This window comes from Homo sapiens, chromosome 7 (assembly GCF_000001405.40).
Source record: "Homo sapiens chromosome 7, GRCh38.p14 Primary Assembly".
In the NCBI taxonomy this organism is placed as follows: domain Eukaryota; kingdom Metazoa; phylum Chordata; class Mammalia; order Primates; family Hominidae; genus Homo; species Homo sapiens.
In genome coordinates, this window is record NC_000007.14 from 101190051 (window position 1) to 101217729 (window position 27679).

At 56.2% G+C, this 27679-nt stretch overlaps 2 protein-coding genes and 2 pseudogenes across 6 annotated transcripts, besides 8 other annotated features; all 4 read right to left on the reverse strand.

Annotated features, from left to right (window-relative positions):
- Positions 1-2835: 2835 nt before the first annotated feature.
- MOGAT3 (monoacylglycerol O-acyltransferase 3) lies at positions 2836-10986 on the reverse strand. 5 transcript variants are annotated; one of them, XR_001744700.2, is made up of 7 exons: positions 10696-10986; positions 10358-10465; positions 10184-10254; positions 8576-8780; positions 8141-8315; positions 5812-6050; positions 2836-2857 (listed from the first exon to the last, which is right to left on the reverse strand). XR_001744700.2 is itself a non-coding variant. In NM_178176.4 (7 exons), exons 1-7 carry the CDS (start codon positions 10802-10804, stop codon positions 5896-5898), a joined length of 1026 nt encoding a protein of 341 aa, NP_835470.1. In that variant the 5' UTR covers positions 10805-10986; the 3' UTR covers positions 4957-5895. The 5 variants fall into 5 exon arrangements, 3 of the variants coding, with proteins under 3 accessions (NP_835470.1, NP_001274076.1, XP_005250366.1); XR_001744701.2 differs by having other exon boundaries at positions 2837-2854; NM_178176.4 differs by lacking the exon at positions 2836-2857 and adding an exon at positions 6137-6339 and having other exon boundaries at positions 4957-6050.
- Positions 5621-6121: an enhancer, noted in NCBI's record as "H3K4me1 hESC enhancer chr7:100838952-100839452 (GRCh37/hg19 assembly coordinates)". NCBI's record gives its function as "activates a minimal SCP1, AML or CMV promoter by ChIP-STARR-seq in naive H9 embryonic stem cells {active_cell/tissue: H9 hESC(naive)}" and the evidence as "EXISTENCE:reporter gene assay evidence [ECO:0000049][PMID:30033119]".
- Positions 11763-13225, reverse strand: DGAT2L7P (diacylglycerol O-acyltransferase 2 like 7, pseudogene; annotated as a pseudogene).
- Positions 12138-12945: an enhancer, noted in NCBI's record as "H3K27ac-H3K4me1 hESC enhancer chr7:100845469-100846276 (GRCh37/hg19 assembly coordinates)". NCBI's record gives its function as "activates a minimal SCP1, AML or CMV promoter by ChIP-STARR-seq in primed H9 embryonic stem cells {active_cell/tissue: H9 hESC(primed)}" and the evidence as "EXISTENCE:reporter gene assay evidence [ECO:0000049][PMID:30033119]".
- Positions 12946-13752: an enhancer, noted in NCBI's record as "H3K4me1 hESC enhancer chr7:100846277-100847083 (GRCh37/hg19 assembly coordinates)". NCBI's record gives its function as "activates a minimal SCP1, AML or CMV promoter by ChIP-STARR-seq in naive H9 embryonic stem cells {active_cell/tissue: H9 hESC(naive)}" and the evidence as "EXISTENCE:reporter gene assay evidence [ECO:0000049][PMID:30033119]".
- RPSAP46 (ribosomal protein SA pseudogene 46) lies at positions 13550-14521 on the reverse strand (annotated as a pseudogene).
- Positions 15934-27531, reverse strand: PLOD3 (procollagen-lysine,2-oxoglutarate 5-dioxygenase 3). The gene is made up of 19 exons (NM_001084.5): positions 27116-27531; positions 26645-26736; positions 26360-26496; positions 26113-26276; positions 25858-25970; positions 25039-25102; positions 23057-23154; positions 22792-22893; positions 22480-22605; positions 22203-22324; positions 21796-21900; positions 21541-21666; positions 20482-20623; positions 20281-20394; positions 20043-20111; positions 18803-18907; positions 17528-17674; positions 16729-16854; positions 15934-16386 (listed from the first exon to the last, which is right to left on the reverse strand). Exons 1-19 carry the CDS (start codon positions 27222-27224, stop codon positions 16231-16233), a joined length of 2217 nt encoding a protein of 738 aa, NP_001075.1. The 5' UTR covers positions 27225-27531; the 3' UTR covers positions 15934-16230.
- Positions 26637-27159: an enhancer, noted in NCBI's record as "H3K27ac-H3K4me1 hESC enhancer chr7:100859968-100860490 (GRCh37/hg19 assembly coordinates)". NCBI's record gives its function as "activates a minimal SCP1, AML or CMV promoter by ChIP-STARR-seq in naive H9 embryonic stem cells {active_cell/tissue: H9 hESC(naive)}" and the evidence as "EXISTENCE:reporter gene assay evidence [ECO:0000049][PMID:30033119]".
- Positions 26637-27187: a biological region, named in NCBI's record as "H3K27ac-H3K4me1 hESC enhancer GRCh37_chr7:100859968-100860490".
- Positions 26958-27077: a silencer, noted in NCBI's record as "silent region_18479". NCBI's record gives its function as "represses an Ori minimal core promoter by ATAC-STARR-seq in GM12878 lymphoblastoid cells {active_cell/tissue: GM12878}" and the evidence as "EXISTENCE:reporter gene assay evidence [ECO:0000049][PMID:35858748]".
- Positions 27138-27187: a silencer, noted in NCBI's record as "silent region_18480". NCBI's record gives its function as "represses an Ori minimal core promoter by ATAC-STARR-seq in GM12878 lymphoblastoid cells {active_cell/tissue: GM12878}" and the evidence as "EXISTENCE:reporter gene assay evidence [ECO:0000049][PMID:35858748]".
- Positions 27328-27607: a silencer, noted in NCBI's record as "silent region_18481". NCBI's record gives its function as "represses an Ori minimal core promoter by ATAC-STARR-seq in GM12878 lymphoblastoid cells {active_cell/tissue: GM12878}" and the evidence as "EXISTENCE:reporter gene assay evidence [ECO:0000049][PMID:35858748]".

Genomic DNA, 27679 nt, shown 5'->3' on the forward strand with positions numbered 1-27679 from the left:
GCCTATAGTCCAGTCTACTTGACAGGTTGAAGCAGGAGGATCACTTAGGCCGGGGAGGCGGAGGTTGCAGTGAGCTGTGATGGTGCCACTGCACTCCAGCCTGAGAGACAGAGTGACAGCCTGTCTCAAAAACAAAAACAAACAAACAAAAACAGGGCTGGGCTCATGCCTGTAATCCCAGCCCTTTGGGAGACCAAGGCAGGAAGATCACTTGAGGCCAGGAGTTCAAGACCAGCCTGGCCAACATGGCCAAACCCCATCTCTATTAAAAATACAAAAATTAACCAGGCATGGTGGCACATGCCTGTAATCCCAGCTACTTGGGAGGCTGAGGCAGGAGGATTGCTTGAACCTGGGAGGTGGAGGCTGCATTTCAGCCCGGGTGACAGAGTGAGACCCTGTCTCAGAAAAAAGAAAACAAAACTATACAGATGAAGACATGCCTAGGGTGAGGCATGGGGAGTGGGGTTTGGAACTCCATGTCCTCCCAGAGTGCACCACCCTCCAAGAACCTCCACATTCTCACCTATCCAGAAGCTCTCCAAACCCAGTCCTCAGGTCTTTTACAGGGGCTTCCTTGGATAGGCATGATTGACACCAGTGTAGAAGTGTGATTGGAAGCTGGGGCGTGGTGGCTCACGCCTGTAATCCCAGCACTTTGGGAGGCCAAGGTGGGCGGATCACTAGAGGTCGGGAGTTCGAGACCAGCCTGACCAACATGGAGAAACCCTGTCTCTACTAAAAATACAAAATTAGCCAGGTGTGGTGGTGCATGCCTGTAATCCCAGCTACTCAGGAGGCTGAGGCAGGAGAATTGCTTGAACCTGGGAGGCAGAGGTTGTGGTGAGCCGAGATCGTGCCATTGCACTCCAGCCTAGGCAACAAGAGCAAAACTCTGTCTCAAAAAAAAAAAAAAATGTGATTGGACAAAAAGGGTACCACCTAATACTAACACACCGAGTGGGGAAGCCCAGCCAGGCCTGTCTGTTCAGATTCTCCTCGGCCTCTCTCTGTGTAGTGTTCCTTCCTCCAGGGGATGGGGCAGGACCCTTTCTGAAATGAGGGTCTCATGACCCACAAGCAGACAAGGTAGGTCAGAGCATCTCTTAATAACCAGCTTCAGACAGAACGGCGAGGGAAGAAGATTCCGTATATTTTTAGTTTCTATGGCCTGCCTAGGTGAGAAAAAGGAGCAGGAGAGAGGAGGCCAGGAGGAGGTCAGAGACAGACAGATTGTGTTTTCTGAAGCCTGCTTCTGAGGCCAAAAGTGCCCCCACGTTCTAACAAAAGACTGTCTTTCACTTTTATCGCTCTGAAGCTGTTCCGAAGTTGCTTCGGGAATTGAGGACATAGGCCAACTACTCTAACAAGAGAAGGGCCGATTGTTTTAGTTACTTAGGAAATAACAAGGGCTTTGGGAGTTATGAGCCAAGAACCTCGGACCTATATATAGGATCTATAAATGGATATATAGATAATAGCACAGTGCCATTAAAAAAGAGACCTGAGAGAGACCCTCCTCTCTTCTCCGTGTGAGGTTAGGGCAAGAAGATGACACACGTGATGAAGTGAACCCTCTCCAGACGACATTTCGGCTGGTGCTTTGATCTCGGACGTCCCAGATTCCAAAACTTTGAGAGCTATATATATATATTTTTGAGACGGAGTTTCGCTCTTGTTGTCCAGGCTGGAGTGCAATGGCACAATCTCGGCTCACTGCAACTTCTGCCTCTCGGGTTCAAGCGATTCTCCTGCCTCGGCCTCCTGAGTAGCTCGGATTACAGGCATGCACCACCACGCCCGGCTAATTCTGTATTTTTAGTAGAGACAGGGTTTTGCCATGTTGGTCAGCCTCTTCACTCTTGTTGGCTGGGCACGGTAGCTCACTCTTGTAATCCCAGCGCTTTGGGAGGCCGAGGTGGGATGATCACTCCAGCCCAGGAGTTCAAGACCAGCCTGGGCAACATGGTAGAACCACTGCGCTCCAGCCTGGGTGACAAAGCTAGATCCTGTGTCAAAAAAACAAAATAACAAAACAAACAAAAAAACACAGAAGGTCGTGACAGATTTTTTTTTTTTTTGAGATGGAGTCTCACTCTGTCATCCAGGCTGGAGTGCAGTGGCGCAATCTCTGCTCACTGCAACCTTCGCCTCCCGGGTTCAAGTGGTTCTCGGACCCCAGCCTCCCAAGTAGCTGGGATCAGGGGCACCTGTCACCATGCCCAGCTAATTTTTGTATTTTTAGTAAAGATGGGTTTTCACCATGTTGGCCAGGCTGGAGAAGGTCGTGATAGATCTTTAAGCAGAGCTATGGGGATGGCGAGGAGGGCCCTGGACCAGCCTGGCAGGTTGGCAGGTTGGGGAAGGTGTCTTGGAAATGGAACCTAAACTGAGTCTTGAAACTCCCCTTCCAGATAAGAGGTGCTGGGTCCCTCAGGTGGGAAGGGACAGCCTGAGTAAAGCCCAGGGCTGAAACACAGCCTGGTTTGCAAGAACAAGCAGTTCTGGGTCGTCTGCCCTGGGTGGGGCTGCACCTTGGACCCAGCCTGTAGGCAGAGGCTGGCTAGCCCCCGAGGACTTCAAGCAAGAGAGGGACAGATTTGCCTTCTGTGTAGAGACCGCCCTCTGGTGGCCACATGGAGGATGGCAGGAGAGAATGGCGCCGAAAGAAAAGCGGCAGGCTGAGCTCATAAAGCTGCGAATGCTGTTCCTTCTTCCTCTTTTTCAAAAGACGGATTTTGGGCCGGGCTTGGTGGCTCACGCCTGTAACCCCAGCACTTTGGGAGGCCGAGGCGAGCGGATCACGAGGTCAGGAGATCGAGACCATCCTGGCAAACACGGTGAAACCCCATCTCTACTAAAAAAAAAATACAAAAAATTAGCCAGGAGTGGTGGCAGACGCCTGTAGTCCCAGCTACTCGGGAGGCTGAGCCAGGAGAATGGCGTGAACCCGGGAGGCGGAGCTTGCAGTCAGCGGAGATCGCGCCACTGCACTCCAGCCTGGGCGACAGAGCGAGACTCCATCTCAAAAAACATAAATAAATAAATAAAATAAAATAAAATAAAAGACGGGTTTTGCTCTGTTGCCCAGGCTGGTGCTGTGGTGCAATCTTGGCTCAGCCTGTAACTCCTGGCCTCAAGCGATCCTCCCACCTTGGCTTCTCAAACTCTGGGATGACAGATGCATACTACCATACCCCGCCCATCCCCAGTGTCTGGAAAATGTGCCCACTGGAGAAATCTATTGGCCGGATTGTGACTGGTTGGATGCTCCCACGGCAGGAAAGGGGGAAGGACAAGTGGCCACGTCGAGGCCTGCCTGAACTCCAAGGGTATCCAGGCCGAGGTTGCTCAAACCCAGAGCTGATTTATTTTTATTTTTATTTGTTTTTATTTTTTGACACAGTCTTACTCTGTCGCCCAGGCTGGAGTGCAGCGGTGCAATCTCGGCTCACTGCAACCTCCGCCTCCGGGTTCAAGCGATTCTCCTGCCTCAATCTCTGGAGTAGTTGGGATTACAGACACCTGCCACTACGCCCAGCTAATTTTTGTATTTTTGGTAGAGACGGGGTTCACTATGTTGGCCAGGCTGGTCTTGAACTCCTGGTCTTAGGTGATCCTCCTGCCTCGGCCTCCTAAAGTGCTGGGCTTACAGGCATGAGCCACCATGCCTGGCCTGAACGAAACATTTCTATGCTCCAACTTAAAATGAATGTAGAACTTATTATCTGAGAATGACCCAGGGAAGTCATGGGACTGCCCATATTTTCATGCAATAAAGGGAAAATTCTTCCCACAAATAAATTTTATAGGACGGTAGAAGCAAATATAGGGCATTCCAATTACATTTCAATGAGTTATTCTTGATGAAGTCCTGGATACACAAAGCCAGCCAGCAAATAGGATTGACCAAAGTCAGAGGATGCTGTGACCACCCCAGGGCTCTTTTTGTTTGTCTGTTTGAGACGGGTCTCGCTTCGTTACCCAGGCTGGAGTGCCGTGGCACGATCTCGGCTCACTGCACCCTTGACCTCCTAGGCTTAAGAGAGTCTCCCACCTCTACCTCCCAAGTAGCTGGGATGACAATCATAAGCCACCACACCTGGCTAATTTCTAGAATTTTTTTTTTCATTTTTTTCATTTTTTTTTCTTTTTAGCCGGAGTTTCACTCTTGTTGCCCAGGCTGGAGTGCAATGGTGCGATCTTGGCTCAACACAACCTCCGCCTCCCGTGTTCAAGCAATTCTCCTGCCTCAGCCTCCTGAGTAGCTGGGTCTACAGGAGAGCACCACCACGCCCAGCTAATTTTTGTATTTTTAGTAGAGACGGGGTTTCACCATGTTGGCCATGATGGTCTTGATCTCTTGACCTCGTGATCCACCTGCCTCAGCCTCCCAAAGTGCTGGGATTATAGGTGTGAGCCACAGCAGCCGGCCATAGGACATAAGCTTTTTTTTTTTTTTTTTTTTTTGAGACGGAGTCTGGCTCTGTCTCCCATGTTGGAGTGCAGTGGCACAATCTCGGTTCACTGCAAGCTCCGCCTCACGGGTTCACGCCATTCTCCTGCCTCAACCTCTCAGTAGCTGGGACTACAGGCGCCCGCCACCATGCCTGGTTAAGTTTTTGTATTTTTAGTAGAGACGGGGTTTCACCTTGTTAGCCAGGATGGTCTCGATCTCCTGACCTCGTGATCCGCCCGCCTCAGCCTCCCAAAGTGCTGGGATTACAGGCGTGAGCCACCGCGCCCAGCCTCAGCTGTGTTCTTAACTCTATTTTTCCTTCACTGGGGATGGTACCATTTCCCCGTCCTGTTAAGTGCCCTTGACTGCTCTTACCTTTAGCTCTTGGAATTCCGCCATCTACCCTAACTTCACCTCCATCTAAATCCTGCTCACTCTTCAAAGCCTGCCTCTCCACGCATCCTCCCTCCTAACTCCATCCCAATGCCCAACAGCTCTTTGCTAAGCAGATGCCTTTATTTACAGACAAAGAAGTAAACAGGCAAAAGGAAGAGGCTTGTCCAAGGTCATGCCACAGACTGAACTCTCACTGGGAGGACAGTTCAGGGTCCTGATACCCAATCTAAGGCAGCAGCTTTGTAGCACATCAGGATGGGGGCAGGTCATGCCTGGCCATGTTCACTTCCAGAACGATTATAGCTTTAACAACATTTTTTTTTTTTTGAGATGGAATCTCGCTCTGTTGCCCAGACTGGAGTGCAGTGGTGTGATCTCGGCTCACTGCAACCTCTGCCTCCTGGGTTCAAGCGATTCTCCTGCCTCAGCCTCCGGAGTAGCTGGGATTATAGGCATGAGCCACCATGCCCGGCTAATTTTTGTAGTTTTAGTAGAGAGGGGGTTTTGCCATTTTGGCCAGGCTGGTCTTGAACTCCTGACCTCAGTTGATCCACCTGCCTCGGCTTCCCAAAGTGTTGGGATTATGGGCATGAGCCACCACGCCCAGCCTACTACAGCTTTAACAGTCTTTTTTTTTTTTTTTTTTTTTTTTTTGAGATTGAGTCTCGCTGTGTTGCCCAGGCTGGAGTACTGTGGTGTGATCTCAGCTCACTGCAACCTCCGCCTCCTGGGTTTAAGCAAGTCTCCTGCCTCAGCCTCCCAAATAGCTGGGATTACAGGCACATGCCACCATGCCCGGCTAATTAACAACATTATTTTTTAATTTTTGTAGAAATGAAGTCTCACTGTGTTGCCCAGGCTGGTCTTCAACTCCTGGGCTCAAACGATCCTCCCACCTTGGCCTCCCAAAGTGCTGGGATTACAGGCATGAGGCACTGCGCTGGGCCCAGAACTACCTTTTATTGGAGGCATGGAGTCCACAGTGGGTGGAGGTCTCAGTGCCTTGGGCTCAGGGGCTCAGCGAAAGGCCGCGGCCAGGCCTAGATGAAGGTGAGGCAGGTGGAAGCGGGGACCCCACAGCTTTCCTTGTGCTCCTCGAAGAGCTGCTCCAGGGCCGTCATGTAGAGGGCGTGATAGTGATTGACTTCCTCCTCGGTGGGGTGGAGGCGCTGGGGGACGGGGATGGGGCGGCCCACTGCAGGGAGAGGGAGACAGGTGGGCGAGGGATCCCTGATGCCCACGCAGCTGCTGGTGGCCGTCCCCCCGGAGGTGGGCACTCACCCACAGTGGTGATGGGCACAGCAAAGGGCAGCAGGCCCCAGGAGGTGGCTGAGAAGAGACCGCGACCCCAGAAGATGCAAGGAGAGAAGCCCATGAGCTTCTTGAAGGTGAGCTGGCACCAATGCTGCCAGGAGCCTGTGGCAAAAGCCTTAAGTCTAAAGATGTCATTCTCCCCAAAGGAGTACACGGGCACCAGGGACGCCCTGGGAAGGAGCAAGAGAGAAGAGGGGGCTCAGGCTGCTGGACTGCTCCGAGATGGGCACCCCCAGGGGCTACAAGTCCTTCCCACTACGTCCAGATGCTACCTCCCAGGGTCATTCAAAGCACATGACTATGGCTACAAAGAAAGATCTAGAAGACAGGACTCGCATTTCTTTCTCTTTCTTTTTCTTTGTTTTAGAGAGAGGGTCTTGTAACCACACCTGTAATCCCAGCATTTTGGGAGGCCACGGTGGGAGGATCATTTGAGGTCAGGAGTTGGAGACCAGCCTGGCCAACATGGTGAAACCCCCGTCTCTGCAAAAACATAAAAATTAGCCAGGTGTGGAAGTGGGTACCTGTAATTCCAGCTACTACAGAGGCTGAGGCACAAGAATCGCTTGAACCTGGGAGGCAGAGGTTGCAGTGAGCTAAGATCACACCACTGCACTTCAGTCTGGGTGACAGAGTGAGACTTTGTCTCAAAAAATAAATAGGCTGGGTGCGGTGGCTCATGCCTGTAATCCCAATACCTTGGAAGGCTGAGGTGGGTGGATCACCTGAGGTCAGGAGTTCGAGACCACCCTGACCAATATGGTGAAACCCCATCTCTACTAAAAATACAAAAATTAGCCAGACGTGGTGACGTGCACCTGTAGTCCCAGGTACTTCAGAGGCTTGAACTCGGGAGGTGGAGGTTGCAGCGAGCCGAGATCACACCACTGCACTCCAGCCTGGGTGACAGAGCAAGACTCCATCTCCAAAAATTAAAAATTAGAAAATTTTAAAAAATAAATAATTTAAAAAATTTTAAAAGAGACAAGGCCTTGCTCTCTTGCCCAGGCTGGAGGGCAGTGGTGCAATCATAGCTCACTGCAGCCTCAACCTTCTCCGCTCAAGCCATCCTCCCACCTCAGCCTCCCGAATAGCTGAAACTTCGGGCGTGCACTACCACACTTGGCTAATTTATTTTATTTTATTTTTGTAGAGATGATGTCTCCCTATGTTGCCCAGGCTGGTCTTGAACTCCTGGCTTCAAGTGATCTTCCTGCCTTGGCCTCCCAAAGCACTGGGATTGCAAGTGTGAACCACCACGCCCAGCCGGGACTCACATTTCTTGAGACACAGTTGTGTAGTGGGCCTTCTCATAGTCATTTTCTCATTCGGTCTTTGCAATAACAACATCGTGGCAAGGTAGGTATCAGCCCTCTTCGCAAGTAAAGAAACAAGTCCGGCCGGGCACGGTGGCTCACGCCTATAATCCCAGCACTTTGGAAGGCCAAGGTGGGCGGATCACTTGAGGCCAGGAATTCGAGACCAGCCTGGCCAAAATGGTGAAACCCCGTCTCTACTAAAAATACAAAAATTAGCCCGGAGTGGTGGTGGGCGCCTGTAGTCCCAACTACTCGGGAGGCGGAGGTTGCAGTGAGCCGAGACCACGCCTTTGCACTCCAGCCTGGGCGACAGAGCGAGACTCTGTCTCAACAACAATAACAAAAAAAGAAACAAGTGCAAGGTCTTGCCTTTGAGTTGGGGTCAGAGAGGGAAGCCAGGGCTTCTGAGACCGAGGGCCCTGCTATTTGCATTATGGTCCTGTCTCCACGGATGTGGGAGGGAGCTTAGGGTAAGCGGGCCCCATGTTTGGTACCGAGTCATGCCCTGGAGAGCCCACGTGGGCCTCGGTGCAGGGCAGGGCGCTGGTCTCTGGGCACCCGGATCCCCCATGCAGGGACCTAGATGTCTGGGGACTGAGAGAGGGCATAAACCAGCAGAGAACTGACAGGTAGGGCCTGCACGCGCACTCACCCGTGCCTCAGCGCCAGGCGCACGAAGCCTTTGCGCTTCTGGAGCGTAAGGCAGTGCTCCCCGGGGACTGAATACAGGGCCTCGTGCGCACCCCCCACCATGATGACCACGGCCTGCCCGAGCTGGGGCTGGGACAGGATGAAGTCCAGGCTCTGGCGGCTCACCGGACAGAGTCCTGTGGGCAGGAGGAGGTGGAAAGTAGTTCCCATCTGCCTCCACGGCACCCCCGCCCCTCACCCAGCCTTTAGTTCCAAGCCCCCTACCCCCATCTCCAAGGCGGGGAACCTACCCAAATGCTCACTGCAAGTCTGGGCAGTGCTCAGGCTGGCCCCTGTCCTGGGTGGGGGACTTATTATGGGGGGGGGTGGTCCCAGAGGGGCTGGGGAACATCTGGTCAGGAGTCTCCTCCCGTTCTCCTCCTCCCATTCGGCTCACCAAAGGACATGATGTAGTCGCGATAGACCGGGAGGTAGAAGAGGCCAGCCAGCACGGCTAACCAGGGCCGGAGCCCCGGGAAGAGCTGGGAGAAGCCATTGCTCTCGGTGGAGAAATTACAGAGGAAGCCTGTACACATGATCCCATGAGGGTGGGCGCCCAGCACGTAGTTCCGATCCGGGGGCAGCTCTGCTGTTTTCACCAGCTTCGGGGTGTTGAGCAGGATGAAGGGAGGATGGAAGGCAAGACACCGGCTGAAAAGAGGGGCCCTCCACCCCAACAGAGTTCCGAGTTAAAGGTTCTTAGGATAGGGTCAAGGGCCACCCCAGCAGAGTTCCGAGTTAAAGGTTCTTAGGATAGGGTTAAGGGCCCAGGTTTTTTTTTTTTTTTTTTTTGAGATGGAGTCTTGCTCTGTAGCCCAGGCTGAAGTGCAGTGGCACGATCTCGGCTCACTGCAACCTCCGCCTCTTGGTCCCGGTTCAAGCTATCCTCCTGCCTCAGCCTCCCGAGTAGCTGGGATTACAGGCATGCGAAACTATGCCCAGCTAATTTTTGTATTTTTAGTAGAGACGCAGTTTCACCATATTGGCCAGGTTGGTCTTGAACTCCTGACCTCGTGATCTGCCTGCCTTGGCCTCCCACAGTGCTGGGATTACAGGCGTAAGCCACCTCACCCACTCTCTCTTTTTTTCTTTTCTTTTTTTGAGGCAGAGTTTTGCTCCTGTTGCCTAGGCTGGAGTGCAATGGCATCATCTCAGCTCACCACAACCTCCGCCTCCCTGGTTCAAGCAATTCTCCTGCCTCAGCCTCCAGAGTAGCTGGGATTACAGGCATGTGCCACCATGTCCGGCTAATTTGTTTGGTATTTTTAGTAGAGATGGGGTTTCTCCATGTTGGTCAGGCTGGTCTCGAACTCCTGACCTTAGGTGATCCACCCACCTCAGCCTCCCAAAGTGCTGGGATTAAAGGCTTGAGCCACCACAACCGCCTTTTTTTTTTTTTTTTTTTAGAGACGGTCTCACTCTGTTGCTCAGGCTGGAGTACAGTGGCGCAATCATGGCTCACTACAGCCTCCAACTCCTGGGCTCAAGCAATCCTCCCACCTCGGCCTCCCAAAGTGCTTGGATTACAGGCATGAGCCATGGTGCCCCACCAAGGCCCCGCTCTTGAACATCATCCACTCCCAGGCCGGGCGCGGTGGCTCAAGGCTGTAATCCCAGCACTTTGGGAGGCCGAGGTGGCTGGATCACTTGAGGCCAGGAGTTTGAGACCAGCCTGGCCAACATGTTGAAACCCTGTCTCTACTAAACTACAAAAATTAGCCAGGCATGGTGGCGGGCACCTATAATCCCAGCTACTAGGGAGGCTGAGGCATGAGAATAGCTTGAACCTAGGAGGCGGAGGTTGCAATGAGCTGAGATTGCACCACTGCACTCCAGCCTCGGTGACAGGAGACTCAGTCTAAAAAAAAAAAAAAATCCATTCCCTGTCCCACTGCCTGAGCTTAGGCAGCGGGGAGCTCAGGCCCCAGCACAAGGAAGGGCTCCTAGGTGTGGGAGGGAGATGGGGAGAGGTAGGAAGCAGTTTTTCTGCAGGGTGACCCATCACCTTGACAGGATAATAATCCCTTAGTTGTCTCCAAATTGCCCGGTTCCTTATCCACTCCGAACGCCTTCCACCTGCGGACAATGAGATACTGGTGGACGAACCCCCGGAGTCACCTCCCCTCACCCCCCATGTCCCCACCATCTCTGGCTACCTGGGCCCCCATCCGGAGCTCACCTTGGTTGGGTGTGTCCCAGTCCACATAGAGCCACACCAAGTAAAAAACAGAGAAGGGCCAGAGTGACGTGAAGAGGAGGACAAAGACAAGAAGGGAGAAGAAAGGGCCTGGGGGAAGGGAGAGAAAGAAAAGAGTTCACTTCTGAAACTCCATCATTCCCTCCAGCTGCTCCCTTCCCTTCCTCCCCTTCAGAACAACCAGCTCTCTCCTCTGGCCCTCTCCCAGACCAGTCACCTGGTCACTGTCCTCAGGCATGCAAGCCAGCAGCCCAGCCACTCTCCCTCCAAGCCCTACTCCCCTGGCAGACCCCAGGCACCCACGCCTCCCCAGCTCTCACCCATGAAGAGGAAAGTGAGCACATATTGGTAGGCGCCCACTGCTTCTAGATGCTGCTTCTGCAAGGTTTTGGAAGTGGTTGGGGGCTGCAGGGTTGTGGCAACTCCCATTGCAGAAGCTCCCCTCTTCCAGCAGGATCCCAGAACCCGGAGGACAAACGATGAAGGCTTGGATGTGGACCTGGGCAGACTTTCTCCCTACAGGAGCCCAGCTTTGGGGGCCTGGCTAAGTCGCAAATCACCTCCCAGAGTAGCGTGTGTCCGTAGGTGTGTGAGTGGGGAGATCTTTGGATCCAGAGCCCCAGATGTCTCTGGGTTTTTTCTCAGCCTGATCTTTGAACTTCCTGTCAGTCACCAGTCTGGGCTGGCTGCTGGGTGGGGCTGGGAGGCGTAAGGGGTGTGCAAGGGAGAGGTGACACCCGAGTGCCTCAGGAATTGATGTTGGAGTGGACAAGAGTGATCTGGCTAGCCCCACCCACTGGGTCCCAGGTGCTGGAAGGGGCCAGAAGCCCTGCTGAGACTATTTGACCTCCAGTCGGGGTGGGGGCAGGGCCTGGTCCGGGGCATCTCCAGGAATGTCAAGGTCACCACCCCTGCCTGGACCTCCCCCGCCATGCACAAACACACACAGGCTGCAGGTCTGTTTCCCACTTTAATTTTTTTCTTTTTCTTTTCTTTTCTTTTTTTTCTTTTTTTTTCACACGTCTCGGTCACCCAGGCTGGAGAGCAGTGGCACGATCTCGGCTCACTGCAACCTCCGCCTCCCGGGTTCAAACGATTCTCCTGCCTCAGCCTCCCGAGTAGCTAGGATTACAGGCGCGCCACCACGTCTGGCTAATTTTTTTTTTTTTTTTTTTTGGATTTTTAATAGAGATGGGGTTTCACCATGATGGCCAGGCTGGTCTCGAACTCCTGACCTCAAGTGATCCACCCGCCTCGGCCTCCCAAAGTGCTGGAATCACAGGCGTGAGCCACCGTGCCCTGCCGCCAGTCTTTAATTTCACTTCCCCACCTGCAGTCACCCAGCGGACAGGCGAGGCCAGGCGGTGGGGCGCGCCTCCGTGAGGACCAGGTGTCTGTCGGCGGGGACACCATAGCGCGCCTGGTGCTCCTCGAAGAGCTGCGTGAGTCGCCCCACGTAGCGCGCTTGCAGCGTGTCCACCTGGGCCGGACTGGGCGGGGGGCTCTGCTGCACGGGAATCGCCGACCCCACTGCGGGCGGGACGGGAGGCGATCTGGGCTGGGATCCCCGGTTCTCCTCCTCTTTTCCTCCTTGGGGATAGGCGGGAACAGAGTTCAGGGCTGGCGCGGTGGCCAAAGGCCAGTCTGGGTGGCCCCAACCCGGGACGGGGAGGGAGCGGGCCCTGGGCCAGGATCGCGGGGCGGAGGCCGGGGCTCACCTACGGTGCGGATGGGCGCGCGGAAGGGCAGCGGGAGGCCCCGGCGGCCCAGGAACAGCTGCAGGGCCACGCTTAGCAGCGGACGCAGAGCCTCCTGCGTCCTCTGCACCCACGAGCTCTGCGGGTTCGGGAACTGCTGGAAGAGCTCATTCTCCCTGGAGAAGACAGGCACTAGGGAGGCCGCAGGAGAGCATGGCGCGGCTGACTCCTGGCCCCGGGGTCCGCGGGTGGCGCCACTCTCCTCCTCCCCGGCCCGGCAGCCCTGGGGCGTCCCCACCGGGTCACGCTCGGGTCCTCACCCGAGTTCCAGAGCTGACTTAACCAATCTCTTCTGATTCCGAATCGGCAAGCTCAGTTGTCCGGGTTTTGCCTCCAGCGCCTGCAGGGGCCCTCCCACGCCAGGACAGCCACCTGGCCACCACTGAGGCAGCGGGGCCTTGACAAAGGAGACCAAACCTGGGGGGAGGGCAGAAGCTGGGGGACCCAACGCCTGGGTCTTATTTACTTATTTATTTAGGGACGGAGTCTTGCTCTGTTGCCCAGGCTGGAGTACAGTGGCCTGATCTTGGTTCACTGCATCCTTGACCTTCAGGGCTCAAGTGACCCTCCCACCTCAAGCCTCCCAGTAGCTGGGACCACAGGTGTGTACCACCACACCTGGCTAAATTTTTGTTTTTGTTTTTTCTTGTGTAGAGATGGGGTTTCACTGTGTTGCCCAGGCTGGTCTTGAACTCCTGGCCTTAAGCGATCCTCTCGCCTGCGCCTCCCAAGTGCTGGGATTACAGGTGTGAACCACCGCACCCAGCCAAAGCCTGGGACTTGGAAAGAAGAGTGGAGAGGACATGGGGAAAGGAGAGCTGGGCCCCAGTGTCCCCTGGGAAGAGGATGGTGGGGCGGGAGACAGCAGCAAGGTCCTCCTCTTCTCACCACCTGACATGATGTAGTCCTGGAAGAAGAGGAGATGGAACCAACAAGGCAGCATGAGCAGGTGTGGCGGGAGTTTGGGGAAGAGGCAGGAGCAGCCCGTGGGCTCTGTGCAGAAGTTGGCGAAGGCTCCCACGACCAGGACCCTGTGAGGGTGGAAGTCAAAGAGGTAGTTCCAGGAGGTGCCCAACTTTGCAGTTTTAACTAGCTGGGGAGCAGACGGGCGCACCCCACCCCAACGGTGAGATTGCACTTTGGGAGATGGTGGTCCCAAGAGTCTATTCTGAAGCCCCAACCGCACCCAGCACCCCACAGCCCAGGTCCTCACTGAGAGGGGGAAGTAGTCACAGAAATGTCTCAAACTGCCCAGTTGCAAACCCAGGCAGATCTGCGGGCTCCAGCCCTGGGTATGTTTCTATCCCAATAGAGCCAGACCAGGTAGAGGACCGCCAGCATCCAAGCCCAGCCGAGGAATGCAAGAGCCAGGCTGCCAGGTGCACCTGGGCTGGAAGATGGGGCAGGGGGAGCTCACAGTACAGGTGTTTAAGACCATTCAGTTGTTGCTCCTACCCATCCAGTGGCCTGAGTGGTGGGAGCTGCAGACCAGTCTTCTGTGGCAGGCTGAATGCTCCAGTCTTCAGTAGGGAACTGCTAGATAGCACAGAGGGCACCTGCACGCCTTCAGACCAGTCTGCAACCTCAGGTTGAGTAGCAGTGAACTCAGGAGCCGGAGCAGTCCATTCACCCTGAAATTCCTCCTTGTCACAGCCTTTTCAGCAGCAGCCTGCTCTTCTTTTTCAATGTCTTCATGATCTCTGTAGAAGTAGAGATCAGGCATGACCTCCCACGGGTGTTCACAGGAAATGGTGCCACGCATGCGCAGAACTTCCCGAGCCAGCATCCACCACATCAGACCCACTGAGTGAGCTCCCTTGTTGTTGCTTGGGATGGCAATGTCCACATGGCGCAGAGGAGAATCTGTGAGACACAGAGCAAGGTAGGTAGGTTAACATAAGATGCCTCTGTGAGAGGCTGCTGATCAGCCCTGGGGTCAGTAAACACAAGAAGCCGTGGCTCCCGGAAGGCTGCCTGGATCTGGTTAGTGAAGGTTCCAGGAGTGAAGCGGCCAGCGATTGGAGTGGCTCCAGTGGCAGCAGCAAACTTCAGCACGGCCCTCTGGCCAGTATTTCTGGAGGGTATGACACTGACATCAGCGGGGTTTTCAATGGCAACAATGCCACGAGCTGCCAGCAGAAGCTTCTCCCAGGTCCTCTTCAGATTTGGGATGTAGATGCCATCACTTTTCCTTTTATACATGTACTGTTCCATCTGTAAGTCAAGGTTGGTGCCACCTAATTGGTTTCCTGCTGCAAGGAAATTAAGGACATCTTCCTCCTTCATTTGCAGGACATCAAGGGCTCCGGATGTTGTGAAAGTTTCTCTTTAAGTTACAACAGGAATCCAGAACAACGCCGGATGGAGCCCTCTGTGGGTAGCGTGGAAAGCTTTTTTTGTTTTGTTTTTTTGTTTTGAGACGAAGTCTTGCTCTGTCACCCAGGCTGGAGTACCGTGGCACGATCTTGGCTCACTGCAGCCTCCGTCTCCTAGGTTCAAGCAATTCTCCTGCCTCAGCCTCCTGAGTAGCTGGGATTACAGGCCTGTGCCACCACACCTGGCTAATTTTTGTATTTTTAGTAGAGACAGGGTTTCACCATGTTGGCCAGGCTGGTCTCAAACTCCTGACCTCAAGTGATCTGCCTGCCTGCCTCGGCCTCCCAAAGTGCTAGGATTACAGGCGTGAGCCACTGAGCCCGGCTTATTTATTTTTTTGAGTTGGAGTTTCATTCTTGCTGCCCAGGCTGGAGTGTGATGGCGCGATCTCAGCTCACTGCAACCTCCCCCTCCCAGGTTCAAGCAATTATCCTGCCTCAGCCTCCCAAGTAGCCGGGATTACAGGCGCCCGCCACCATGCCCAGCTAATTTTTGTATTTTTTAGTAGAGATGCGGTTTCACCATTTTGGCCTGGCTGGTCTTGAACTCCTCACCTCGTGATCTGTCCGCCTCAGCCTCCCAAAGTGCTGGGATTACAGGCATGGGCCACCGTGCCCAGCTTAATTATGTATTTTTTAAGTAGAGACAGGGTTTCACCATGTTGGCCAGGGTGGTCTCAAACTCCCAACTTCAGGTGATCCATCCACCTCAGCCTCCCAAAGTGCTGGAATTACAGGCGTGAGCCATCGCGCCCAGCTAATTTATTTTTTGTAGAGATGGGGGGGGTCTCGCTATGTTGTCCAGGCTGGTCTTGAACTCCTGGCCTCCAGTGATCCTCCGCCTGCCTTGGCCTCTGAAAGTACTGGGATTATAGGTGTGAGCCACTGTGCCCAGCCTGGGAAGTCCCTCTTTTGGTCTGTGCCCTCTCATGCACTTTTTTTTTTTTTGAGATGGAGTCTCACTCTGTGGCCCAGGCTGGAGTGCCGGGGCACAATCTCAGCTCACTGCAAGCTCTGCCTCCCGGGTTCATGTCATTCTCCTGCCTCAGCCTCCTGATTAGCTGGGACTACAGATGCCCGCCACCACGCCTGGATAATTTTTTGTATTTTTAGTAGAGACGGGGTTTCACCGTGTTAGCCAGGATGGTCTGGATCTCCTGACCTCGTGATCCGCCCCCCTTGGCCTCCCAAAGTGTTGGGATTACAGGCGTGAGCCACCGCGCCCGGCCCCTCTCACACACTGTCTCCAGCTCAGGCAATACAGGGGAAGGGGAAAGTGGGAGCCAGGGAAGCTCCCAGGTTCCCACGAGGGTCTAACATTCTGCCTCTCCCTTTTCCTCTTGTCTTCGCTTTTCTGGGTCTCTCCCCTCTACGCTGCTGGCAGGAGGGGAGATGGGGTTAATGGGCAGACCAATGGACTCAAGACTTACAAACTGTCCTTTATTCAGAGTGAGACTGCGGAACATTAATAATTTATCACGCGGGGAGTCCCCAGAAGCCCTGTGCCCACGAACCCCTGTGGGCGGAGGAGAGAGGCGGGGACTCCGGGAGCTTCCTGAGAGGGCCGTGTCTTGGGAGCAAGGTGACATATTCAGTTCAGGCACGCGGAACATGAACTCAGGAAGTGGGGAGACAGAGAGACCCATCCCCCAACTCCCAGGACGGGGGCCAGGCCCCCTAAAAAGGCACAATGGCAGGGCAGGTTTGGCAGAGTGGTTGAGTGTCAGGGGTCGACAAAGGACACCATGATGTAGCGTGTGCCCCAGGTCGTTGGCAGCCCCTCGTGGTAGTGGGTGAGGCGGCCGGGGTGCAGGAGTGCCCAGCCCTTCCTCGGGGAGGAGATCACACAGTCGTAGCGCAGGAAGCGGCAGCCACCTCCCTGGAAAGAGAAGGGAAAGGAAACATGGAGTGAGCAGACGTGGGGCCTGGGGAGCAGGCAGATACACGGGGCAGGGCGGCCAGACCGGGGGGCACGGTGCAGCAGACCGGGGTGACAAGGGAGATGGCAGATATGGCAGACACCGGAGGCTGGGGTGCCTGCAGACAGGAAGATCCAGGAGGAAGCAGAGGCCGCCTGCCCAGAAGCGATCCAGGAGCTGATACCCACAAAGTCACTGGGAAATGGGCAGGGAGGGGAGCTGGGGGATGCACGCAGGGGCTCTAGGTGGGGACCCGAGGGTCCTGAGGTGAAGCGTGGGTGGGTAGTGTGACTGGGGCGCACCTCATAGTCCAGGCCCTTGTGGTTGAGGGCAACGTTGAGGGTGAAGGTGGATGAGTCGTGGTGTGGCCGCAGAGACGGCTGCTCGTCTGGCCGGTAGCGAACCACAAAGTTCATCACCGCCCGCGCCTGGGGGAGAGGAGGGAAGAGGCTGCAGGGACAGCTGCGGGCGCAGGGGGTCTTTTATTTTGTATTATTATTATTCTTTTGAGATAGTCTCGCTCTGTCACTCAGGCTGGAGTGCAGTGGTGCGATCTTGGCTCGATCTTGGCTCACTGCAACCTCTGCCTCCCGGTTTCAAGCAATTCTCATGCCTCAGCCTCCCGAGTAGCTGGGATTATAGGCACCTGCCACCACACCCGGCTAATTTTTGTATTTTTAGTAGAGACGAGGTTTCACCATCTTGGCCAGGCTGGTCTTGAACTCCTGACCTCAGGTGATCCACCCACCTCAGCCTCGCAAAGTGCTGGGATTACATGTGTGAGCCACCACGCCCGGCCATCGCAGGGTGTCTTCAGGGAGATGACGGTCCCTGTCCAGGGAGGGGAGGGGAGGGGCGGCGGGACCCCTGCGTAGGAGGCTCTCGCTGCTCACTGGCATTAAATTAGGGCCAAGCCTCACCTTGGGTCTCAGCCTGGCGCCCTCCCTCCCCTGGGGTGCCTCCTGCAGCGTCTCATTCCCCTGGGAACTAAAATGCATGGAGCCCAAATGCTGCCGGGGCCGAAAGGGGTCTGCGTGGAGACTTCCTGTCCGGGACTGGGGTGGGGAAGGTGGGGAGGCAGCTGGCAGGTGGGCAGCGCACCTTGGTGTGGTAACCGGGAAACAGGCTCTCGGTCATGGGGCCCACATACGTCCGCAGCAGCTGCAGCCACTGGTCCTCGTACCCCACCTGCTTCATGTGGATGTCCACGGTGGGCACATTCTCGTAGCCTCCAGCCAGCCTTGAATCCTGGGGGCGGCGGGCACTGAGCCACCCGCCCCTCCAGCCATGGCGCTCCCCACCCCAGGGCAGTCCAGCCTCCTTCCTCCCGTCCTCCAGCCTTCACACCTGTGTTCCTCTGTGCAGAACAGTCTTCTTTGCTACTTCTCGGCCTGACTCACTGCTCCCGGCCCTTCAAGTCTCAGCTAAGATGTCACCTGTCCTGTGAAGCTCCCTACTCCTCCCAAGTCTGGGTCAAGGCTTCCCCGTGGCTTCTATTGCACCCAGGCTGCTCATCGCAGCCTTAGAAGCTGTGTGGTGGCTGCTGCTCACAGCAGGGCAGAGCTCGACCGGCATGAGGCATTCCTGCAGTGCAGTCTAGGACAGTGGCCCAGGAATGATTTCCTTTTCTCTTTTTTTAGAGACAGAGTCTTGCTCTGTCACCCAGGCTGGAGTACTGCGGCATGATCATAGCTCACTGCAGCCTCTAACTCTGGGGCTCAAGTGATCCTTCTGCCTCAGCCTCCTGAATAGCTGGGACATGCCACCATGCCCGGCTAATTTGTTGGTTTTTCTGAGATGGAGTTTCACTCTTGTTGCCCAGCCTGGAGTTCAATCTTGGCTCACTGCAACCTCTGCCTCCCGGGTTCAAGCAATTCTACCTCAGCTCCCGAGTAGCTGGGACTACAGGCGCCCGCCACCATGCCCGGCTAATTTTGTGTTTTTAGTAGAGATGGGGTTTCTCCATGTTGGTCAGGCTGGTCTCGAACTCCTGACCCCAGGTGATCCACCTGCCTCGGCCTCCCAAAGTGCTGGGATTACAGGCGTGAGCCACCGCACCTGGCCCAAACTCGGCTAATTTTTAAATTTTTTGTAGAGACAGGGTCTCGCTATGTTGCCCAGGCTGGCCTCAAACTCCCCCTGCTCGAGCAATCCTCCCGCCTCAGCCTCCCAAAGTGCTAGGATTACAGGCATGAGCCACTGTGCCCAGCAGTAAATATTTCTTGAATACATGAATGAATGCAGTTGTGACCCCAGGGTCTGCCTCCCCCCTGGGAACCCCTCTTTGCTCCCATTTTCCTGATTCCATTGTTTGTTTACCAGATCCTGCACCTCCTCCTCTGGGAAGGCCTCTGCCCTCCTCGCCCAGGCCCTTACCTCATGCCGGCCGCCTGACCACTGGCCGTAGTGCTCCATCTCTGCCACCAGCTCATCACACATTTGTTCTGACAGCAGTGGGAACCAGTACACGTCCGGGCATGGCTGAGGATGGGGCGAGGGAGAACAGGGCTAGCTGACGCCGCAGAACGGGGAAGGGGACAGGCAGCAGGCAGAATGGGAAGGGGCAGGGAGGAGCAGGGAAGGCTTTGTGAGAGCAGCCGGGGACCCGCCAGGTAGGGGCTGAGGGAGTGGCAAGGCTGAGGACCGGTTTCTGGCACAGGAGAGGTGGCAGAGGGTCCTGGAGCCCCTCGTGCTGGGACAGTGGTTTCCAAACTTCCGTAACAGTGCATACCTCTTTTTTTTTTTTTTGAGATAGGGTATTGCTCTGTCAACCAGGCTGGAGTGCAGTGGCACAATCATAGCTCACTACAGCCTCGACCTTCTGGGCTCAAGCGATCCTCCCGCCTCAGACTCCCAAGTAGCTGGAACTACAGGCACATGCCACCATGCCAAGCTAATTTTTTCTTTTCTTTTTTTTTTGAGACAGGGTCTCGCTGTGTCACCCAAGGTGGAGTGCAGTGGCGTGATCTTGGCTCACTGCAACCTCTGCCTCCCAGGTTCAAGCGATTCTCCCACCTCAGCCTCCCGAGTAGCTGGGACTACAGGTGCACGCCATCACACCTGACTAATTTTTGTGTTTTTTTTTTTTTTTTTTTTGGTAGAGACAGGATTTGCCATGTTGGCCAGGCTGGTCTCGAACTCCTGACCTCAGGTGATCTGCCTGCCTCGGCCTCTCAATGTACTGGGATTACAAGCATGAGCACCACTCCTGGCCTCATTTCTTATTTAATTTTTTTGTTGTTGTTGTAGAGACAGATTCTCGCTATGTTGCCCAGGCTGGTCTTGGACTTCTGGCCTCAACCGATCCACCCACCTTGGCCTCCCAAAGTGCTGGGATTACAGGCATGAGCCACTGAGCCCAGCCCCATTCTTCTTTTAAGATGTGATTTCAAGCATAACACCAGTATACCCAATATACAGGAGAAGAGGCTGTCTGATCAATGCTGGCTTTGGGGGCAAGAGTCCTTTCTGTTCGGCCTCTGCCTTCATCTTGTCTGAACAGAAAACCCTCAGATCTCTGGGGAACTCAGTGTGAAAACTTTGAATCCAGGCGGGGGCCCCCAAGAGGCGATGGCCATGAGGGCAGGGGGTGGGTGGGGAGGCTGCGTGGGCTCACCTGCTCCACGATTCCTTCCCCTTCCAGGGCCCGGCTGTAGTTCTCGTGGATGTACTGCTCCTTCCAGTCCTGTGAGAGGGTGGGGGGCACATCAGATCTGTGCCCCCCTCGCTCCCAGCCCCCAGGGGACCGCCCCCTCCCACTCAGTGTCCTGCGCTGGCAGCAGCCATCACGTTTGGTGTCTTCCTTAGCACAAGGCGGGGAACCTGTGTGCTCTGGGCGTGGGGTCCCCACTCACGACGGGGTTGTCGAAGATCTGCCAGAGGTCGGGGTGCAGGTGCTCCGTGTCGTATCTGGAAGTGGCCAGGAGCCGGCCAAATTCATGCTGATTGCTCAGATGGAGGAAGATGCCCTGTAGTGGGGTGGGGGTGTCCGTGATGCAGGCGATGCCTGGAGTCTGGGGGACTGCCCCCAGGCCAGACCGTGCACCCGCGCTCACCTTGTCTCGAAAGCTCTTACAGAAGGCCATGTCCGGGTCTGTGTCACTGCCCGAGAACACATCCCTCTGGGGCAGCTCCATCCGCAGGGTATCACCCCGGATCACATAGGCCTGGGAGATGTATGGTACATTCCACACACCCCTGGAGGCACCGACACCGCGGTCAGCTGGGAGGACAGCCCCCCAAATTCTGCCCAGCTCATCCCGGGAAGTCCTTCTTCCCTCAGGGTATCCCAGTCCCTGAACATAAGGCCCCTGCATGTCCCTTGTCAAGCACTGCTGGTCCCAACCACCCCACCTCCCAAAATGCGGTCAGTTCCTACCCCAAGCTGTGGCACTTCTTTTTTGTTTCTTGTTTTTGGTTTTTGAGACGGAGTCTTGCTCTGTCACCCAGGCTGGAATGCAGTGGTGTGATCTTGGCTCACTGCAACCTCCACCTCCCAGGTTCAAGCAATTCTCCCACCTTAGCCTCCCAAATAGCTGGGATTAGAGGTGCCAGCCACCATGCCCGGCTGATTTTTGTATTTTTGGTAGAGATGGGGTTTCACCATGTTGGCCAGGCTGGTCTCGAACTCCTGACCTCGAGTAATCCACCTGCCTCTGCCTTCCAAAGTGCTGGGATTACAGGCGTCAGCCACCGCGGCCGGCCCTTGTTTTTTATTTTCTTGAGAAAGGGTCTCCCTCTGTTTCCAGGCTGGAGTGCAGTGGTGGAAACATGGCTCACTGCAGCCTCAACCTCCCAAGTTCAAGTGATTCTCCCACCTCAGCCTCCGTAGTAGCTGGGACCACAGGCACGCACCACCGTGCCCAGCTAATATTTTAAGTTTTTTGTAGAGATAGGCTCTTGCTACGTTGCTCAGGCTGATCTTAAACTCCCAGGCTCAAGCAGTCCTCCTACCTCAGCCTCCCAAAGTGGTGGCATCAAAAGTGTGAGCCACTGCAGCCAGCCTCATGGCACCTCTGACTGGTGACCACTCCAAACCCCTGAGAGTAGGGGGCTTGGGTCTACCTGGGCCCCGGGTCGGAGGAGGCGGGGGGCTGCAGGCTGGCGGGACTCACACTCGCTTCCGCTGCACCAGCTCCACGTAGTCCTCGGAGCGGGCGTAGTACTCATCGGGGCTCAGGGCGCCCCAGAAGTTGGACCACAGCTTGCCGTGGCGGGACAGCATGGGGGCGATCACCTTCCTGCGGACAGGTGGGGGTGAGGGCTGGGCAGACGGGAGCAGGCCTGGGGAGCCCGGTGCCCAGGGCAGGAGTGGGGTTCCCGGGGCCTGTTGGGGTGCCCTCCGGCTGCGGGGAGAGGGGGTAAGCCACCTGTTCTCCTCAATGAGGATACGCAGGGTCTGCAGGTTGGTGAGGACAGCGTCGGCGTCCAGGCTGAAGTAGAACTCACACTCGGGGTCCTGCCGACACAGGTCCCTGGAGGTGAGAGGCGAGCTGAGACGGCGGCAGGTGGGGAGGCGGTGTGGATGGGGTAACTGGCCCATGCCCCCAGGAGAAGAGGAGGGAGGCAGTGTCTATCCTTCCTTCCCCAGGCTCTCTGCTGTCTGGGTGAGCTGGCAAGGGCAGGAGTGACAGCATGGGGGCTGCAAGGATGCGAATGGGGAGGCCCAGGAGGGGCTGGATGGGTGACAGGTGAGGCAAGGGCCAGGCAGCAGGTGGCAGCACCCCTGACCCTACAGCCTCATCCCACCCTCTCCTCCCCGCAAGCACCCGCTCACATGGCCATGTCCCTGGCCTCGCCTGGGCTCAGAGCCTCCTCCGGCCCCACGAGCTTCACAGCTGAGAAGTGGTCCTGGAGCTGCGGCCAGGAGTCAGCGATGTGGGGTTCATGGAAGACCTCCTGGGAGGGGAAGACATAGGGGGATGGGCTCAGAGGGCAGGGAGGCGGCACCTGAGGGATGGGGGTGCAGGAAGGAGATGGGGGTGGGGGCACGAGAGTTCTGATCAGGGCAGGGAAAGGGTCCCTCAGGAGAGGCTCCAACAGGGGAGTCTCACGTTGTTGTGCAGGAAAAGGGTGACCCTGTCGGGGGGATAGTCCAGGAGTAGCAGCCGCTGCAGGAAGCGGGGCAGAAACGGAGTAGGCTGTTCCACAAACACGGCCAGAAACACCCGGGGGGGAGGCTGGAAGATGCAACACGCAGGGACTCAGAGAGAAGCCCGGACTTCCCTGCTGCCCCCACCCAACCTCCACCCTGACAGGTGCAGGGACCCAGGAGCGATGCCCCCACCGCCCCCCAGTCCGCTGTCCTTGTACCTCCTGCTCAGCACGCTGCCCTCTCGTGCCCCTCCCTGGCACCCCCACCTCACCTGCCCCCCCGGGAGTGTCCTCCGGTCCTGGTTGCAGAAGCCACAGCCTCCCTCAGGAGTCCAGCCATTGGGGACGTAGTTTCCCAGGTAGTTGAGCTGCAGCTGTTGGGGACAGACTGAGGCTGAGTGGCTGAGGCCTCCAGGGGTGGAGGTGGGGGTCAGGCACCTCTGATATGGGGGCTGGGAAGGGCCAGCTTCTCAGAAGGGTTGGAGGTGCCTGGGGGTTGGGGCAGGGCGGGGCGGGGGTTGAGACCACTGGTGGCACCTTAGTGGGACCGTTTCCATGGACCACAATGGGGAGCGTGTCGTAGGCCACGTTCCGGATACGCACACGGTTCCGATCAAACTTTAAAACCACTTCATCTGGGGAAGAAAAAGGCCAGGCTTCAGACCCCCTTTCTCTGGGAGCTACCAAGCAACACATTCTTCTAAATATGGGGTCCCAAATTCTCCAGGGAATAAAGGGACACCAGGGCTATCCTGGAGTGTGGCTCGTTGTGGGCAGGAACCTTTGGGTTCTGACCAGGCTGCTGGCCCAGAGAGCTCCACTGCCTACTACCTGCGTGATCACACCGCAGCTGGGCGAGGAAGGGGAGGGTGAGCTGAGCGGGAGGCCAGTAGGAGCCTCAGCATCCCTACCCCTCCTCATATTCTCTCTCTCCTTGTTTTTTTTTTTTTTTATTTTTATTTTTTGAGATGGAGTCTCACTCTGTCACCCAGGCTGGAGTGCAATGGCGTGGTCTCGGCTCACTGCAACCTCTGCCTCCTGAGTTCAAAAGATTCTCTTGCCTCAGCCTTTCAGGTAGCTGAGACTATGGGCACATGCCACTACACCTGGCTAATTTTTGTATTTGTATTTTTTGTTTTTTATGCTGAGATGGAGTCTCACTCCCAACACGCAGGCTGGAGTGCAGTGGCACGATCTTGGCTCATTGCAACTTCCACCTCCAGGGTTCAAGCGATTCTCCTTCCTCAGCCTCCCGGGTAGCCAGGATTACAGGCGCGCACCACCATGCCCGGCTAATTTTTGTGTTTTTAGTAGAGACAGGGTTTCACCATGTCGACCAGGCTGGCCTTGAACTCCTGACCTCAGGTGATCCACCTGCCTCGGCCTCCCAAAGTGCTAGGATTACAAGCATGAGCCACCACACCCAGCCTAATTTTTGTATATTTAGTAGAGACTGGGTTTCACTATGTCAGCCAGGCTGGTCTCAAACTTCTGACTTCATGATCTGCCCGCCTCAGCCTTCCAAAGTGCTGGGATTACAGATGTGAGCTGTCGCACCTGGCCTTTTTTTTTTTTGAGAAGGAATCTCACTCTGTCACCCAGGCAGGAGTGCAGTGGCGCAATCTCGGCTCACTGCAAGCTCTGCCTCCCGGGTTCCAGTGATTCTCCTGCCTCAGCCTTCTGAATAGCTGGGATTACAGGCACCCGCCACCACGCCCAGCTCATTTTTGTACTTTTTTTTAGTAGAGACGGGTTTTCGCCATGTTGGCCAGGCTGGTCTCAAACTCCTGACCTCAAGTGATCCTCCTGCCTGGGCCTCCCAAAATGTTGGGATTACAGGCGTGAGGCACCGTGCCTGGCCTCTCTCTCTCCCCGTTCTCCCCATCCCCTGAGGCAAGTCACCAACCCCTCCACAAGCTGTTTTCCTCATCTGTACAAGAAGGATAACCAGGGACCTTCCCTTTGTTAAATGGAATCACAGAAGTAGACCGGGCACAGTGGCTCATGCCTGTAATCCCAGCACTTTGGGAGGTTGAGGCAGGCGGATCACCTGAGGTTGGGAGTTCGAGACTAGCCTGGCCACCATGGTGAAACCCTGTCTCTACTAAAAATACAAAATGAGCTGGGCGTGGTGGCGCATGCCTGTAATCCCAGCTACTCGGGAGGCTGAGGCAGAAGAATCACTTGAACCCGGGAGGTGGAGGCTGCAGTGAGCCAAGATTGGACCACTGCACTCCGGCCCGGGCAACAGAGCGAAACTCTGTCTCAAAAAAAAAAGTCCCTGGCCCGGTGCCCAGGCACAGCATGTGTGCAACAGATGCCAGACACGTTTTTGCTTCCCTTGCTTCTGGTAGTACCATCAGCACAGTGCAACTTACACAACCAGCCACTCAGACGCCTGACAAAACCACATAGAGGTGGGCTTGGATCAGCCCAGCTCCTCCAGAAGCCTCTCCCAGCTCAAGACCCCTAGCTGCAGAGGCTGCGCATCGCCCACCTGCGGCTGTCTTCCTCCTCACCTAAAGCCCCGTTGAGGTTCTGAAAGATCCGAGACTTATGATCCAGATTAAGGCTGAGTTTCTCCTAAATGGAATGAGATGCGATGGAGTGGTTAAAATGGAAGGAGTGGAAAGGACATCATTTCTCACTTTTCTCTCTCTTTTTTTCTTCTCTTGCTTTTGTTGCTTAGGCTGGAGTGCAATGGCACGATCTCAGCTCACTGCAACCTCTGCCTCCCGGTTTAATTGATTCTCTTGCTTCAGCCTTCCAAGTAACTGGGACTACAGGAGAGTGTCACCACGCCTGGCTAATTTTTGTATTTTTAGTAGAGACGGGGTTTCACCATGTTGGCCAGGCTGGTCTCAAACTCCCAATCTCAGGTGATCCACCCGCCTCAGCCTCCCAAAGTGCTGGGATTATAGGCATGAGCCACCATGGTTTTCCTTTTTTTGTGAGAGACAGAGTCTCATTCTGTCACCCAGGCTGGAATGCAGTGGTGCAAAACATCCTCAAACTCCTGGGCTCAAGTGATGGTCCCACCTCAGCCTCCCAAGTAGCTGGGATTACAGGCGTACACCATGAAGCCTGGCTAATTTTTTCTTTCTTTTTTTTTGTAGAGATGAGGTCTCAACTATGTTGTCCAGGCTGGTCTTAAATTCCTGGACTCAAGCAATCCTCCTGCCTAAGCCTCCCAAAAGTCTTGGATGACAGGCGTGAGCCACCACGCCCAGGCACACATTTTTCTCTTTGCAACCCCCTTTGCTCCCCAAATCCCATTCAGCCTGAGGCCTCCACTCCCACAGAGCTGCGGGATGCGCCCACTCCTCTGCCTTCCCTACCCTCAGTCCTGGGTCCAGGTAGAGCCGTGTGTAGAACAGCTGGTCGTCGTCATCATCCTTGTACTTCCACTGGCGCACGATTTGGTGGATGGTGGTGGCAAAACCGATGAATCCTGGCGGGGAGGGGGAGTGTTGACCTCGAGACTCCCAGGGTCCCAGGGCCTGTCCCCCAGGCTGTCTCCAGCCCTCAGGCGCCTTTAACACTCTGTGTCCCACCGCTCTTGGCCCCTCTGCCTTGGGCACTCTGCCACTCACCACCAGAATTGAGGAAGCGCTTCCCCGTGCCCACCTCAGGGTACTGCTCCGCCAGCCCCCACTCGGGCCAGCAGAAGCTCTCTGCAGAGAAGAGCAGGCGGCTGCCACTCTGGACGAACTTCTTCAGCAGCTCTGTGGGGCTGCCGGCCAGAATCACGTCGTAGCTGGGTGAGGAAGGGGAGGATGGGCAGGGGTCCACTGGGAACCTCAGCATCCTTACCCCGCTCCCTATCCCCAGCCCCGTTACCTATCCACAAACATGATGATCATATCCTCCCGGTCAGCGTATTTCTCCATTTCCTTCTTTAACCACCGGACCTTCTGTCCTCCACCAACTGTTCGAGCCACATCACCCCCTCGCCACTCCTCTCCCAGGCCCAGGGTCTGTGGAGAAGATTGCCCCGTGCCAGGCAAGGGGTGGGGAGTTGTGGGGGGAACTCCTGACCAGGCTTACCGTGGGGACCTGGGCATCCAGACTTCAGCCCACCCCTCCTGCTGGGACCCCCTCCCAGGGGCCTTTCCCTCTCCTCACCCGCACAGTGTAGTTGAAGAACTCCGCAGAGCGCAGGAAACGCAGGTACCCCTCGGTTTCAGCTGTGGCCACAGTGATCACCAGCAGCTTCTCTGTTACCAGAGGGAAATGGCACTTGAGATCCACCGCCCAGCTCCGGGCCTCACGTGCTTTGCTGTCCTCCCTCTCACTCGACTTCCCTCCCTTTCTTCCTTCCCATTCTTAAACTCTTCTCACCCAGGAACACTCTGACCCCAAGGAGGGCAGGGTGGGAGTGGTGCCCAGGAATTCCGAGTCCCTTTGCATAGGGAGGCTGGAAACCCCAGTTCAGGGTAGTGATGGGCGAGGGGCTTGGCGCGACTCAGCCTCAAGAGCACGCTGGGCGGGGGACGGGCCAGACACCTCCTCGAGCCTCCGACCCTCTCCGGGCCAGGCTGGCAGGCACGCCAGCCTCTGCCCCCTCGGCCGTGCCGGGCCTCCCCGGGATCTCACCTGGGTTGACCGGGTCTCGGCCCCGGGGCCGGTCGGAGGCTGAGGCCGCAGGGGGCAGCAGCAGCGGCAGCAGCAGCAGGAACCGGGGTCCAGGCCCCGAGGAGGTCATGGTGGGGAGCGGGCCCAGACAGCACCCAGGATCCTGGGATCTCCGCTACGCGCCTGGATCCCAGCTCCGGAGGGGAGCTCTGGAAAGGGGGCGCTCGGGCTGCTGTGCGGCCGCCGCGGGGAGCAGCTTGGCTGGGGCTACGCCCTGAAAAAAAGGCGTATCCGGAGGCTACAGAAAGCTCCAGATGCCGGCGCCACAGACAAGGCGAGGATTGTCCCGGGCGCACGGGAGGCGGGGGAGGGGCGGCGGCTCGGGCCGGCGGGCGGGAGACAGGGACTCTGGGCTGAGCCAGCCGCTTGACACATGTGGAAGCTGAAACCTGGACAGGGGAAGTGACCCCTGGCGGAGGGTCGGGCGGGACGCGGGGGCGGGTCCTGGCCGCAGCCCTGCCCAGAGAGTGCGGGCGGAAGACGGGGAGAGCGAGAGGCTGGCGGCGACAGGGAGGGAGGAAGCCT